Here is a 14889-nt window from a genome sequence, read left to right as displayed (position 1 = left end):
CATTTATAAGAAAATCATAGCTAACATCATACTTACTGGTAAAAGATTGAATGCTTTCCCCGTAAGATTAAGAATAAGACAAGAATGTCCACTCTTGCAACTTGTATCCAACATTGCGCTAAAGGTTCTAGCCAGAGTAATTAGGCAAGAAAAAAAGTAAAAGGCATTCAGATTAGAAAGGAAGAGTTTGTAAAACTCTATTTTCAGATGACATAATTTTGTATATAGAAAATGCAAGGAAATTCATCAAAATTCAAAACTGTTGTGCTTCAAAGGACAGTATTAGGAAAGTGAAAAGACAATTCACAAAATGGGATGAAATACTTGTAAACCATGTATCTGATATGGATTTAGTATCCAGATGTCAGAACCCTTAAAACACAAAAATAAAAGGAAAAGTAACCAATTTTAAAATGTGCAGAGTTTGAAAAGACATTTCTCCAAAGAGGATACATAAATGGCCAGTAAGCACATTGAAAGACTCTCAGTGTCATTAGCCACTGGACAAATGCAAATAAAAACTACAATGAGACAGCAATTCACATCACCAGGATGCCTACAGCCAAAAAAGTAGACAATATTAAGTGTTGGTGAGGATGTGAAGAATTAGGAACCCTCATACATTGCTGGAGGGAATGTAAATTGGTATAGCCACTTCGGAAAAAGTTTTGGCATTCCTCGAAATGTTATACAAAGAGTTACTGTAAGATCCAACAAGTATCTATCTAGAGTATGTACCCATGAGAAAACATATTTGCACTGTAACTTGTATACTATACTGATGCATGTTACAAAATGGATTAACCTTGAAAACATTACGTTAAGTGAAAGCCAGTGGCAAAAGGCCACGTATTGTATGACTGCATTAATACCAACTATCCCTAACAAGGAAATTTATAGAAACAAAATGTAGATAGGTAGTTGCCTAAAACCAAGAGTTGGGGATGGGTATGGTGATGATTCTTAACAGATAGAGGTTTCTAAAGATCTAAAAGTAGACTGTGGCATGCCTGCACAACTCTGTGAATATTCTAAATACCACTTAATTGTATACTTTAAATGGGTAAATTGTATTTAAATATAATTTGTATTTAAATATAATTGTATTTAAATATAATTTGTATTTAAATATAATTGTATTTAAATATAATTTGTGAATTATATCTCCACAAAGCTGTTTAAAAAAGGACATGAGAGCCTGCTTTGTACATCAAAATGAGTTATTTTAATGAATGAAAAACATTAAATCTACCAGTCTACAGAAAAAGAAAATGTGTATTTGACATCGTTTAAGGTGGCTCTTACATCAACTCCTTACTTGGAAAACTGGTATTTAAATGTCAAGAATTAAGCTTTTCTCCTGTCTTCCCAGCATTGACGATTTCGAAAAATTTTTGATACTATTCTACGTAACACTGCTTTAGCTAAGTAAGTATATCTTCTTAGTTCCAAGTATCCTAGAGAGGAGGAAAATCATAACAACTGTAAGCTTAAAATATTTCAGTATAAAAAATTATTTAAAATTGTTAATATATTAGTTCTCATGAAAAACAAAAATAAATTTTTCTACTTGTTCTGTTGGTCAGTGAACAAGATAATACTGCACCAAGTTTATCAATTTTGTAAAACTGGAGAAACTGGAAAAAAATGATCACAAATAACCAGTAAAGTATTTAGAAAAACTGTTCTACATATCCCCAAGGGATAAAAGCATCCCAGTGTGTGAAATACAGAAGAAGAGTGTTGTGTACTACGCTTTAAAGGGATGGGAAGCTATGAATAACACACCGGTCAGAAAAAATGTGATCGAGGATCCCAGTGTACTCCATGATGCTGGGCACAGAGAACACACACCTTTCATTTTGATGAAATGAAGGCAAAGGAAGAGACAAAGCTGGAGAAGAACCCTCTTGCTTAACTCACCTATCCAGCCTGCTCTCCAGTCATTCCTGCTTAGGACTCCCTGTGGCTGGGTGAAACAGGACTCTTTCCCTTGCTCCAGATGAGAGACCAAAGCTGGTTTGGAAGTGGGTGGCACTGCTCGAAAAGAAGAAAACATAACACAATAATGAGCATAGTCATAGGGGTCAAATTTAAGCCTGTGGCTACAAGAACAAGCAAGGGAGGTGAGGAGAGTAATTCCCGGGTGAGCTATACGAGAGGTACCCTAAAGAGGTACTGGGAGGGATCCTGGGAAGAAGAGTCAGGATGGTTCTTCCAAGGAAGCCTGAAACACCCTGGAAGGCAGATTTCTATTTAAAGGGCAACAAGATTTTTTACCTTCTTTGTCAGAGGATGAAAATCTCTCACTATGGGAAAAAGACAAATGGCTCCTAGGAGTAACTCCCAGAGGGAGACAAAGTGGCTGCATTCTCTTAAGATAAATTGGAGGTTCAATACTAGGCTAAGGGTATCAAGATATAGCTCAAGCCCTACTGTACTCAGAATCACCTCTGAGGCAGGTAGGGAAGGAGGGTAGCTTTTACGCTAGAAAAAGAAGGAAAGCCTTTCGCAAGTCAATAGACACCAGGGCTTTCTATACCTGGCAACCTTTGACATCGCTATTTGGGGTCAGCTAATAATTATAAAAGAGCCCTTCAACCTGAGGGCCCAAGCAGAAACCAGCAGCAGAGAGGCCTTACCTACAAAGGCCACAGCCTCATAGTTCTCCAGCATCACATCCCTGTACAAGGCCCTCTCGGCAGGCACCATGATGGCCCATTCCTTCGTAGTGAAGTACACAGCCACGTCCTCAAAAGCCACTGATTCCTGAAACGACAAGTTCCTACTTTCCCAGACCTCAGTACTTTGGTGATGGTCAAATCTGCCAATGAGAGACCTGAGAAGGGCATCTACAAATGATACGTATTCAGTATTGGGTCCTTCACGTGCCTACAGAGTTTTTGTGTAAAATTTAGGTGTGGAGGAAGAAGATGCAGAATTAAAGTAGCCAGTCAGAGTTCAGCATATTTTCCCAGTGAGAAACAAGTACACCTCCGCTATGAGCTTCTAAACATGTGACCTCCACAGACGCTGAAGCTGCTGCATAGAAGCTGGGCTTGGGCCCGATCACAGAAGTGCACTTGTGGAAGGAGAACTGACCCCCGAACATAGCTGTCAGCTTAGCTCTAAGCCCCTCCCTAATTTGTATATATCCCAGTGATTATTTGGGTTACTCATATTACTCCATTTTCCAATTCTACTTTCATTCTAATCCTTCGTTCTTGCCTATCTCCTTGCCCACTACCCCAAGCACAAAGCTCTCTGATCAGTCAATGAACTCCCACCCGCAGCCTGTCTTCATGCAGAGGTAGTGAGGTTAGAGAAACGCAGGAAAATACTGCTTACTTGAGAAAGGCTAGGGTCTAGACCAACTTGGTGCATAAGGCTCAAGATAGGCCTAAAAAGGTGTCTATTTCAAGTTTTTAAGCCCTGGAGTCAAGCTCTGTATTTCAGAAATAGAGCTCTAGTGGAAATGGTCTTAACATGGAGTATGAGATTAAGGGAACCTATGAGCCAAGTGCCAAAGAATGTTTTATCAATTACCATTTTTATGTATTTTTAATTACCTTGGAGAAAAGCCCTCCATGTTACGTTGTGTTGCAAAATTCCATGTAACTCACCAACAGTGAGTGTCATGGAATACTGGTTCAGACAGAAAATTCAACTAATAGAACTGAATAGGGATTTTAAAAACAGACACAGACATATATGTTCACCAAATGTATGACAAAGTAACTAGAGCAATTCAGTGGGTAAAAGACAGATTTTTCAATACATAATCCTGAATCAATTGGATATGTATATGGGGGGAAAAAGAACTTTGACCCATGCCTCACACCTTTAATTTGAGATGAATCACACACCTAAGTATAAAGGTAAAACAATAAATCTTCTAGAAGAAAACACAGAAGAACATCTTGATGATGTCTGAGTAAGAAAAGATTTCTTATACAAAACAAACTGATATACTGGACTTCATTGAAAGTAAAATCTATAATCAAAAGATACCATTAGGAGAGTGAAAATGCAAGCCACTGATTGGGAGAAGTTACTTAATAACACATATGTCTGACAAAGGACTTACAATAAATAAGAAACAATACAACTTAGGAGAAAAAAAGGTACAGTGTAATAAAAAATACGAAAAAATATCTGAACAGGGAGTTCACATAAGAGGATATGCCAATAAACCTATGAAATGGTGCTCAGCATCACTGCTTACTAGAGATGAGAAGATTTTTTAAACCCCAATGAGATACTGCAAACGAGTGACAACAAGTAATGGTAAGGATGTGGAGCAACTGTACACGGCTGACAGAAATATAAATTGGAATAATCATTTTGGAAAATTGTTGGGCAGTATCTACTAAACTAACCAAATGTATATATACCCTATGAGCTAAAATTTTACTCACAGAGACATACCCAAGAGAAAGAAGCATCTATGTCCACAAAAAGATAAGAATGTTCACTGCATTCTTATTCATGGTAGCCCAAAATGGGAACAACCAAAAGTCCATCCACAATAGAATGAATAAAATGTGCTATTATCACAAAATGAAAAACTACTCAGTAGTGAAAAAGAACAAATCACTGCTGTGTGCAACAACGTCAGTGAAGTTCACAGACATAACGTTGAGCAAAAGAAGGCAGATACAAAAGAATGCATGTTTAATGATTCCACTTATACGAAGTTCAAGAACAAACAAAACTTTCCTATGGTAACAGAGGTCAGAATAGTGGTTAACTTTGGGATGAGCAGTGGATTGCTTGGGAGGCAGTATGAAGGGGCCTTTTGGGGTGCTAATAATGTTCTATGTGTTTCTATGAGTGAGGTCATACAAGTGTACATAGTTCTAAAAAGTGAGCTATACTGTTAAGACTTGTGTTGTGTAAGTTAAACCTCAATGAGAAATGTGTGTGTGTACACATACACACATATATAAAAGTATGTTATATATATGTAAATGTGTAATATAGATATTTTTATGTATGTATCTAATAAACACATATGTATATACACACAGGGATATGTACAGAGATAGAAAAAAACAGCTCACCTGGGGCCTGGTTGTTAAGGACACAGCTGTCATCATCTGACCTCTTTTATTCCTTTCTGGGTAAAGGTAAAAGTCTCAGGTGCTGAAGGTAAAGAAAAAAAACATTAACGATAATAACTTTATTGACCATAAGTCCTACAAACAACCTCTGACCCATCTGTTTTGAAGGCTATATCAATAACCGTTCATTAGTTATTGCTTATTATCAATCTCACAAAGGCGAGATAGCAGGCATACAGAGAAATGCAAAAAGGAGGTAGAATCATCCACGGAATGAGTGATGAAAAAGTGGACTGAGAAAACTATAATTTCAGCTAATCCATAGAATACATCACAGGACAGGAAACAGAAAAGGAAACTAAGGTAGACAGTGGACAGAGTGTTATAGGCAGAAAAGAAAGTTGGAATTCTAAACAGTTAAGATCCCTGAAATCCATACAGTACAGATAAGAATGAGTTATGTAGTACAGATAGGAATGAGTTATATAAAAGAAATCCATTAAACACTGTAAGACCTCAGCATGTTTTTCCTCCTATGCTACTTAATATTAGAACAAGAGTTTCTATGACTGAAGTAATGAAAGTTGAACAGACTTTGAAAATAGTTATCAGAAATATTTTGATGCCTCCCTACTACTATTTTTCCCCTAAATACAAGATACTCATTCAGTTTTATAAAGGTGTTTGGAGTGGGTGATGAGAAAGAAAACATTACCATATTAAAAGAATCCATCAACTTCATAACATGTCCCAAATACTTCAAGTTCCAAATGTTATAGTATAAGGAAACAAAACAATTTCATTTCTAAACTAGTTCCAACTCTCATTCTGGGTCATTTAATTAGTTCATCATTAGGAAGTAAGTCTTTTGCCTTTCAAGAGTGAATCATCAATATTTATGCATTAAAGACAACACCTGAAATACAAAGAGCTGCCAACAGTTGGATCAGAGATATTCAAAAAGCATATAAACAAACACATAAAAGTGCATATACTCATAGACCTTAAAAACAACTTCCGTTCCAACTCCATATCTGCAGTTTGCTGTAAGTCTTAGGGTACTGCAACAGCATCAGACAAAACACTATAAAGCCAGTGCACTGCCCCTCCCTCCAATGACTCTTCTTAGTGAATCCAGAAAGCCATTCAGGAAGGTAGAGGAAGCTGAAGGTGTCAGAGAAACAGCTGTCAGGAGACGCCAGAAAAGGCATCTTGGAAGTTAACAGGGAGTCCAGTAAGGAGAAATATTTATGAGTGTAAAGAGAAGTACTTTAAAAGAAAACACAATGTAAACCTACACAAGTAATGCTGCTAAATTCATGGATGGTTTCTGTCCAAGAAAGGGTAACAAAAGCAGTGATTCATACTAAGTAAATAGTTAACCCTTGTAATTGTGGAATCTAATTCTCTAAAATCATGATACTGTCATTGTATCGGCAGTAAATGTCCCTTACAGTGGATACTTAATAGGATTAGCGTATCAAACAAAAGGACTTAAGCAAAAAGGTCTGATCTGCACAGCTGACAATCTGCGAAAGGGAAATCATCTGGAAATAGAACTACAACAGAGGTCACCCTACAAAACACAAAACACTCCCTATGGAAGTGTCTTCCTATGGGGAAAGCTAAGTGGAGATGAAACATAAATAACAAGCCACATTGGAGAACAAATCACACTCCCAACATAGTTGACTAATGGCAGGGACATCGAATGTTATCCTATGAACCTTGACAATTAAATTATGACAGTGGAGTAAAAGTTCAGAGAATCTAAAGAAAAGAATATAATGAACAATGTTAAGAGGTCAAGAAATCTTTCGACATCTCCAATCCTGTACATAGGAAACTATGTTAAACACTGGACACACATTAGGTGCATGACGGATACGATCAGTCTTTTTAGATTTAACATTCTTATGAGCCAATCCAGATCGCAGGGCTCCATATTTTCCAAAATGGGACATCCTGGGGACGGGTAGGGAATACAATTCGGTATTCTCAAATTTTTGGTTGCTCTACGACAGTAACAAGTTTCAAGACTGGTGTACACTATGGCAGGCGAAAATAACTGATCACCAACTGATTTTCAGGGACCAACTGAAAACGTGGAAACTGACAAGCTGAGGGGTAGGGTTGGGGTTTCCGCATCCGGGTCAAAGACAAGGGGGCTGGAGCGACCGAGGGGCATGTTCTGTTGATAGAAGATTCTGGAGTGTGGACAGTTAAAACTTTTTGTGGGCTTCGAAGTTAACATGCGAATGTGTGTCAGTATCCGACTCTGAGTGGGCCACAGGCTGCCCTGGGTACAGGGAAACGAGGGGGGTGGGAGCCTGCGGCCAGCGTTCCAGGCCTCTGCCAGCGCCGCATCTCGACGCTACAGAGCCAAGCTCGGGGATCGGCATGAGGACCCCAGTACCAGCAGTAGCCACACCCGCCTCCCTCGGGGCTGTTTCCCGTCCTCCTCAGACCCGCTCACCGTGGGCTCCTGGCGGCCTCTGCAGCTTTTCAGCAAGCAGAGATGGTGGGCGCCACTCGCCGATCCTCACAAACCAAAACCTCGCGCGACAAAAACGAAGGCGGCCCCGGAAGTGCGTCATCACACTGACTGGTGAACCCATACACTCTCTGGATTTCTCTCTAGGACTCGTGGAGGACCCCACATCTTGGTGCTTCCCTCCTAATTCCCGTGAGGAAAAGGGCACGCTGGCGAGATAGGCTCTTGGCGTTCCTCCAGAGCCCAGTTCTGAGTTGAGGCACCTTGCTCATGACGCTGCATCATCGTACCAACCTTGAATACTGGCTTCCAGTGCCTTTATTACTGTGCTACAATAACTGCAACTACAAGTCTTACCCAGAATATGCAAGAAAATGTGAATGGTTATACGTTTTATTGATCTTGTTAAATTTAGCATTTGGATTGTTATAGCATAATGAACGAATCACACATTATACAACCAGGACTTCTCTTGAATTGCTGTAATGATTGCACTCCTAGAATGTGATGTCTTTCAATGTTGCTGACGCCTCTCACTTCCATACATTACCACTAGCAGAGAGGATTAGCAATGGACCATGGGCAAAGTGAGAGCAGTCAGTTTACCCAAGAAATATTCATCCCCTGTCCAGCAGAGCTTAACACTGTCCCAGGAAAACAGCATGACTACATCAATCAGAGGTAAGAAAGGATACCTATCATGATGAAAAACCTGTTGAAAGCACTTAGAGGAAATAGGTGTGGCCACCCCAGAGAACTTCCTGACATGCTGTGCCAAAGCCTGTGGAGAAGGTAGAGTAACTGCTTTGATGCCAACAGCGAAGGGTGTGAAGAATAAGGGACATTTGCCCCCACCTCCATTGTCCTTGGGTGTTGTGTATCACATGCAGTATCACTGTAGGAAGACAAATGAGCACAGGCTGACACAGGGGCCCACACATGCAGCTCACATCTGCTGCAGGGGTTTGCAGTCGACCCCTCATAGCCCAGAGCCCTGAATTCACCCTGTGCCTGGCATAAGTGAGAGCCACCCAAAGTCACTGCCGTTCTGGTAGCTCAGTCTCTTTTCTTTATTTTTCAGGGTTTTTAAAAGTGTGATTCTTTTTGAAAAATCAAGAAATTCACCTTCTCACGATGTAGAAAACTGAAAAGTGCATGGCCTCACCCTTACAACAACAAAAAACAGCCAGATAATCTAAAATTTTCTCTTGAACACATCAGAAAGCTAAGATCTGGGGGCAAACGACTTAATCTAAAATCTGATGTAAGACAGGCACTTTCAAGAAGAGATGGTTGTAAGCACTTGTTTACATAGGACAGATGCCATTGGATGCCATGTAAGCTGTTAAGGAGAAATCAGCTAAAATGTTTAATGAGTTGCTGAGGTCCAAGTGTTGGCTAGCCTGAGAATATAGAGACTACAGAACTCCTGTGAACCACAGACACAAGCAGAATTTCCACCCACTTGTATATTCTTCTCTATGGACATCATCAAATGTGTGCACACACACATACACACATACAATTGAAGGTAAGGCAAGAAGAATCTTATGAAAACCTTCCCGCTAGAAAAGACATGAATCCCCATCCAGGTCCTTCTCTCCTATTTCCCCTACAGAACAAAAGCCCTAAGCCTCTGAGGATGAAAAAGCAAATCTTGTCACCCTTAGGGACTGGTTAAGATCCAGTGGAACTGAAGGGAATAAAGAGAACAAAAAGCTCTCCATTCACGAAATAGCGGTAGAATTGCATCCTGGTTCCAGACCATGGAGGTGTCCTACAGCTGAGGATAGGGCAACATCACTTAATAGACCCCACCCTTAAGTCTCAGAGACACAGTGCCTACCTAAGATTAAAGCTGAATCACAACAGAAAATGCCATCCCTTCTACCACCACCAAAATATCAAATGCTGAGTCAATAAGAACAGCAATCTACTGCTAAAAGAAGGATAAAAACATGGAGAAAGACCCCTCTCTGAGGTACAGGAATGAAGGGAAGGCCTAAAGGTAAGAGTGGTGCAAACATTGAGAAAATCTCCTTTAGCAAACCATCCCACACACTAAACTTAAGGTAATACTAGAAGAATTTGAAGCCTGTGGATAACCATAGCAACAAAAACACCTAAACACAGTTTAACTCCTGATTAGATCAACTCAAGCCTTCACAATAAAGATCTACCGAAAGAAAAAGTATGCCTGTTTCATTTTTGCCTTAGCCGCTATACGTATTTGTGTGTATGTATGTGTATGTGCATATATGGGTGTATACTATACGTGTATAGTATGTGTATATAAATATATATACATACACGAATATTTGGATGCAGCCAGAGAAAAAAGACACATTACATACAGAGAAACACAAATAAGAATTATAACCAATTTTGCATCAGAAACCATGCAAGCCAGAGATAATGTAGTAACATATTTAAAGTGCTGATAGTAGGTCAGAGAAAGGTCAGGAACTTGTCAACCCAGAATTTTATATCCCGCAAAAATATTTTTCAATAATGCAGGAGAAATAAAGACTTTTCCAGATAAACAAAATTCATTGCCACCAGATCAGTACCATAAAAAATGTTAACAGGTATTCTTCAGGCAGAATGAATATGATACCAGACAAAAACTTGGACGTACACAAAGAAATGAAGACCTCTAGAAATGTCAAGAAATGAAAATAAATATAAAACTTACTTTTTTCTTATTTAAAAATTACTCTAAAAGATAAGTCACTGTCAAAAGCAAAAATAATATCAAGGTACTATGTTAATACCACATGTAAAAGTTAAGACATGACAAAAAATAGCACAAATGTTGGGAGAGGTTTGGCAGTTTGTGTTGCAAAACCCATACACTACATGAGAAGTGATATTATTTGGAAATAGACTCTAATTATAGATATATATTGTAAGCTCTGAAAATATGCATTAAACTTTTCAGTAGAAATAACAAATCAATTATGGGGGTAACACAGAATCACAGAAAATCCTCAATTCAAAAGAAGATTTAAAAGAGAGAGAGAGAAAAAAAAGAACAGATAGAACAAATACAAAACAATTAGCAAATGATAGATTTTAATTCAGTCATATCAATAATTATATTAAAAGTAAATGCTCTAAACACACTAATTAAAAGACAGAGGCCTGGCACAGTGGCTCACGCCTGTAATCCTAGCACTTTGGGAGGCTGAGGTGGGCAGATCACAAGGTCAGGGGTTCAAGACCAGCCTGGCCAACATGGTAAAACCCCGTCTCTACTAAAAATACAAAAATTAGCTGGGCATGATGACGCGTTCATGTAATCCCAGCTATTTGGGAGGCTGAGGCAGGAGAATTGCTCGAACCAGGACCCAGGAGGCAGAGGTTGCAGTGAGCCGAGATCACACCACTGCACTCCAGCCTGGGCAATAGAGCAAGACTATGTCTCAAAAAAAAAAAAAAAAAAGAGAATGTAAGATTTGATTTTTTAAAAAAAAGCAAGAATCAACTGCATGCTGCATACAAGAAACATGCTTTAAATATAAACACATAGAAAATGTTAAGTAAAAAGATGGATGAGGTTCTAGGTAAGATATAATTAGCCTATTCTACCTAGTTGTTTCCATTAAATGCAGGTCTAAACCTTGGGTAGGATGCATACAGTAGGTATTTGACTCTGAAAGGTAAATAGGAGCAAGCTGTTCGAGGAGGAACAGAAGTGAAAGTACCACAAGATTGACAGTGAGTTTACCATTTTTTTCTTCTCATATTCCCTAGCCTGAACTATACATAGCCCAAATTCTGGAAGTGTGCATCAGCAGAGACAGAAGTAAGGGAGAAGCCCTCAAGTTCTATAATAGCTCAAGGCATGGAAAGGAGTCATCTGATGCTCTGGAAGAGAATAGAAATCCTCTGATTTCTTTTCTTTGTACTTCCATGCCCCAGTCCCAAGTAATCTGTGCTGGGGATAGAAGCAAGACTAATGGGTGTTGTCCAAAACCTAAAACTCAGAGAGAGTAAGAATCTTTCTCTCTGATCAGAGGAGCTGTGATCTCAAGAGGGTGAGAGAAACTCAAGCTGCTTTTTTTGTTTCTCGGTCCTCTCACTGCTTACTGTGACCATAAGGGAGTAGCATACAGTTTCAATTGCAAAAAGTTTATAGCAGAGAGGGCTAGATAAAACCTCAGCTTTTACCTGGAGGATCAGAAAGGAGGGGCAAGGGCCAGGCACGGTGGATCACACCTGTAATCTCAGCACTTTTGGAGGCTGAGGAAGGCACATCACTGAAGGCCAGGAGTTTGAGACCAGCCTGGCAAACATGGCAAAACCCCATCTCTACCAAAAATACAAAAATTAGCTGGGTGTGGTAGTGGGCGCCTATGATCCCAGCTACTTGGGAGGCTGAGGCACGAGAATCGCTTGAACCCAGGAGGTGGAGGTTGCCCTGAGCCAAGATTGTGCCACTGCACTCTGGCCTGGGCAACAGAGCAAGACTCTGTCTCAAAAAAAAAAAAAAAAAAAAAAAAAGAAAGAAAGAAAAAAAGAAAAGAGGGGCACAAATAGACCAGAAACTACTAGCGAAATTTCAGAGAAGGTTGAGGTCAGTAAAACAATTTGTTAAAGTTATTTATAAACTCCTGGGTTTATTCCTGAGCTACACATGCATGGATCTGACCCCAAACAGCATAGACAGAACTAAATATGGAATACATTACCTCCCAAGCCCCAGAATGGCCACTCGGTAGCCTGCACAGGGAACAGATATGGATAGTATTACAAAAAGTTTTGAAAAATGAACTGATATTAGGATTTTAAAAAATCAAAGAAAAATTGCCAGATTTTGCACCCTGAACCCAACAGGGTTGAATTACTGCTTTTTAAAAAATTAGCACTTATACTTAAAATTTAAACATGCTTCGAGGTCTCATAATATAGCATTCAAAATGCTTAGGATACAATACAAAACTACTTGGCGTACAAAAAAAATACCCAGAAAAAATATTGTTTCATTGAAAAACAAATCAACAGATGCTAATGTTAAGATGACACAGATGTTAGAATTATCTCAAAAAGACTTTAAAGCAGCTATTACAAAAATATTCAAACAATTAAGAGTGGGCACTCTTGAAATGAATGGAAAGACAGAAAACCTCACCAAAGAAATAGAAAACAAAAGAACCAAATGAAAATTGTAGAACAAAAAAAAAAAAAACAAGAAACTCAGTGTATGAGCTCAATGGCAGAATGGAGAGGACAGAGGAAAAAAACAGTGAACTTGCAGATAGATTCATAGAAATTACCTAATCTGAAAAACAGAGGAAAAAAGATGAAAAATGCAAAGTGCCTTAGGGGCCTATGAGGACAACATCAAAAGGTCTAACATTCACGTCATCAGAGTCTCAGAAGGAGAAGAGAAAGAGTGTGGTGTAGAATGAATATCTGCGGAAATGAAGGCTGAAAACTTTCCAAATTTGATGGAAAAACATAAACCTACAGATTCAAGCTTAGTGAATTCCAAATAGGATAAACACAAACCCAGGCCTAAATACAGCATAATCAAACTACAGAATAAAAAATATTTAAAAGCTAAGCACAGTGTCTCAAGCCTGTAATGCCAGCACTTTGGGAGACCAAGGTGGGAGGATTGTTGAAGTCCAGGTGTTTGAGACCAGCCTGGGCAACATAGCATGATCCTGTCTCTACAGAAAAATTTTAAAAATTAGCTGGGAGTGGTAGCATATGCTTGTGTCCCCAGCTATTCAGGAGGCTGAGGTGGGAGAATTGCTTGAGCCTGGGAAGTCAAGGCAGTAAACCATGATCTCACCACTGCACTCCAGCTTGGCCAACAAAGTGAGACCCCATCTCAAAAAAAGAAATGTATTTGAGAAAAAGAAAAAACTTGGAAGCAGACAGAAAAAAAAATGCATTATTTATAGGGGAACAATGATTCACATTACTCTAATTTTAAATGGAACAATATTTTTAAAGTGCTACAAGAAAAGAATTTAAATGGAACAATTTTTTGTGTGTGTTTTTGAGACAAGGTCTCACTCTGTCACCCAGGCTGGAGTGCAGTGGCATGATCTTGGCTCACTGCACCCTCCGCCTCTCAGGTTGAAGTGATCCTTCCACCTCAGCCTCCCGAGGAGCTGAGACTACAGGCATGCACCACCACGCCTGGTTAATTTTTGTATTTTCTGTAGAGATAGGGTTTCACCATGTTGGCTGGGCTGGTCTTGAACTCCTGACCTCAAGTGATCACCCTCCTCAGCCTCCCAAAGTGTTGGGATTACAGGCATGAGCCACCATGCCTGGCCATAAATGGAACAATATTTTTAAAGTGCTAAAAGAAAAGAAATGTAAACCCAAAATTTTATGTTAAGTAAAAATATCCAAGGGCCAGGTACAGTGGCTCTTGCCTGTAATCCCAGCACTTTGGGAAGCCAAGGCCGGTGGATCACATGAGGTCAGGAGTTGAAGACCAGCCTCACCAACATGGCAAAACCTCATCTCTACTAAAAATACAAAAGTTAGCTGGGCATGGTGGCATGTGCCTGTAATCCCAGCTACTTGGGAGGCTGAGGCAGGAAAATCGCTTGAACCCAGGAGGCGGAGTTTGCCATGAGCCAAGATCGTACCACTGCACTCCAGCCTCGGCGACAGAGCAGGACTCTGTCTCAAAAAAAGAAAAGAGAAAAGAAAAGAAAAGAAAAGAAAATGTCCTTCAGGATATTTTTCAATGTTTTACTTTTTCAGGGAGGTCTTACTCTGACAAACATTTAAAAATAGCAAACCCAGGCTGGGCGCGGTGGCTCACACCTGCAATCCCAGCACTTTGGGGGGCCGAGGCAGGCAGATCTCCTGAGGTCAGGAGTTTGAGACCAGCCTGGCCAACATGGTGAAACCCCGTCTCTACTAAAAATACAAAAATTAGCCAGGTGTGGTGGTGGGCACCTGTAATCCCAGCTACTCAGGAGGCTGACGTAGGAGAATTTCTTGAACCTAGGAGGTGGAGGTTGCAGTGAGCTGAGATCGCGCCACTGTACTCCAGCCTGGGCAACAGAGTGAGACTCCGTCTCAAAAAAAAAAAAAAAAAAAGAAATAGCAAACCCATCCCCAGCACTCACAACTCTTTTCCTTCAAGTATATGTGATTTATTCCTTTTGCTTATTGCCTTTTCCTCCTGACAACAATATGAACTCAAACACAGTCAATTCACTGTTCTGTCCTCAGCATCTGGCACTTAATAGGCACTTGTGAAATACTGTGTCACAATAGGCACTTGTAAAATACAGAAATATAGTGTAGGGTGACCACATATATAGTAGTCTGTAGACTATGTATTGTGGTCAC

At 39.7% G+C, this 14889-nt stretch overlaps 1 protein-coding gene and 1 long non-coding RNA gene across 2 annotated transcripts; one reads left to right on the top strand and one right to left on the bottom strand.

The window, feature by feature from the left end:
- Nucleotides 1–1202: 1202 nt before the first annotated feature.
- On the bottom strand, nucleotides 1203–7609 carry KRABD1 (KRAB domain containing 1). Its single transcript, NM_001205272.2, has 5 exons — nucleotides 7540–7609; nucleotides 5064–5145; nucleotides 2643–2769; nucleotides 1924–2037; nucleotides 1203–1457 (listed from the first exon to the last, which is right to left on the bottom strand). Exons 2-5 carry the CDS (start codon nucleotides 5097–5099, stop codon nucleotides 1348–1350), a joined length of 387 nt encoding a protein of 128 aa, NP_001192201.1. The 5' UTR covers nucleotides 5100–5145; nucleotides 7540–7609; the 3' UTR covers nucleotides 1203–1347.
- KRABD1-AS1 (KRABD1 antisense RNA 1) lies at nucleotides 7210–9751 on the top strand. The gene is made up of 2 exons (NR_122033.1): nucleotides 7210–8238; nucleotides 8639–9751. It is a non-coding gene; the product is annotated as a KRABD1 antisense RNA 1 (long non-coding RNA).
- Nucleotides 9752–14889: the final 5138 nt, after the last annotated feature.

Source organism: Homo sapiens, chromosome 3, assembly GCF_000001405.40.
Source record: "Homo sapiens chromosome 3, GRCh38.p14 Primary Assembly".
Lineage (NCBI taxonomy): Eukaryota > Metazoa > Chordata > Mammalia > Primates > Hominidae > Homo > Homo sapiens.
The sequence above is the reverse complement of the archived record's forward strand: the minus strand, read 5'-3'. Positions and strand labels throughout refer to the sequence as shown.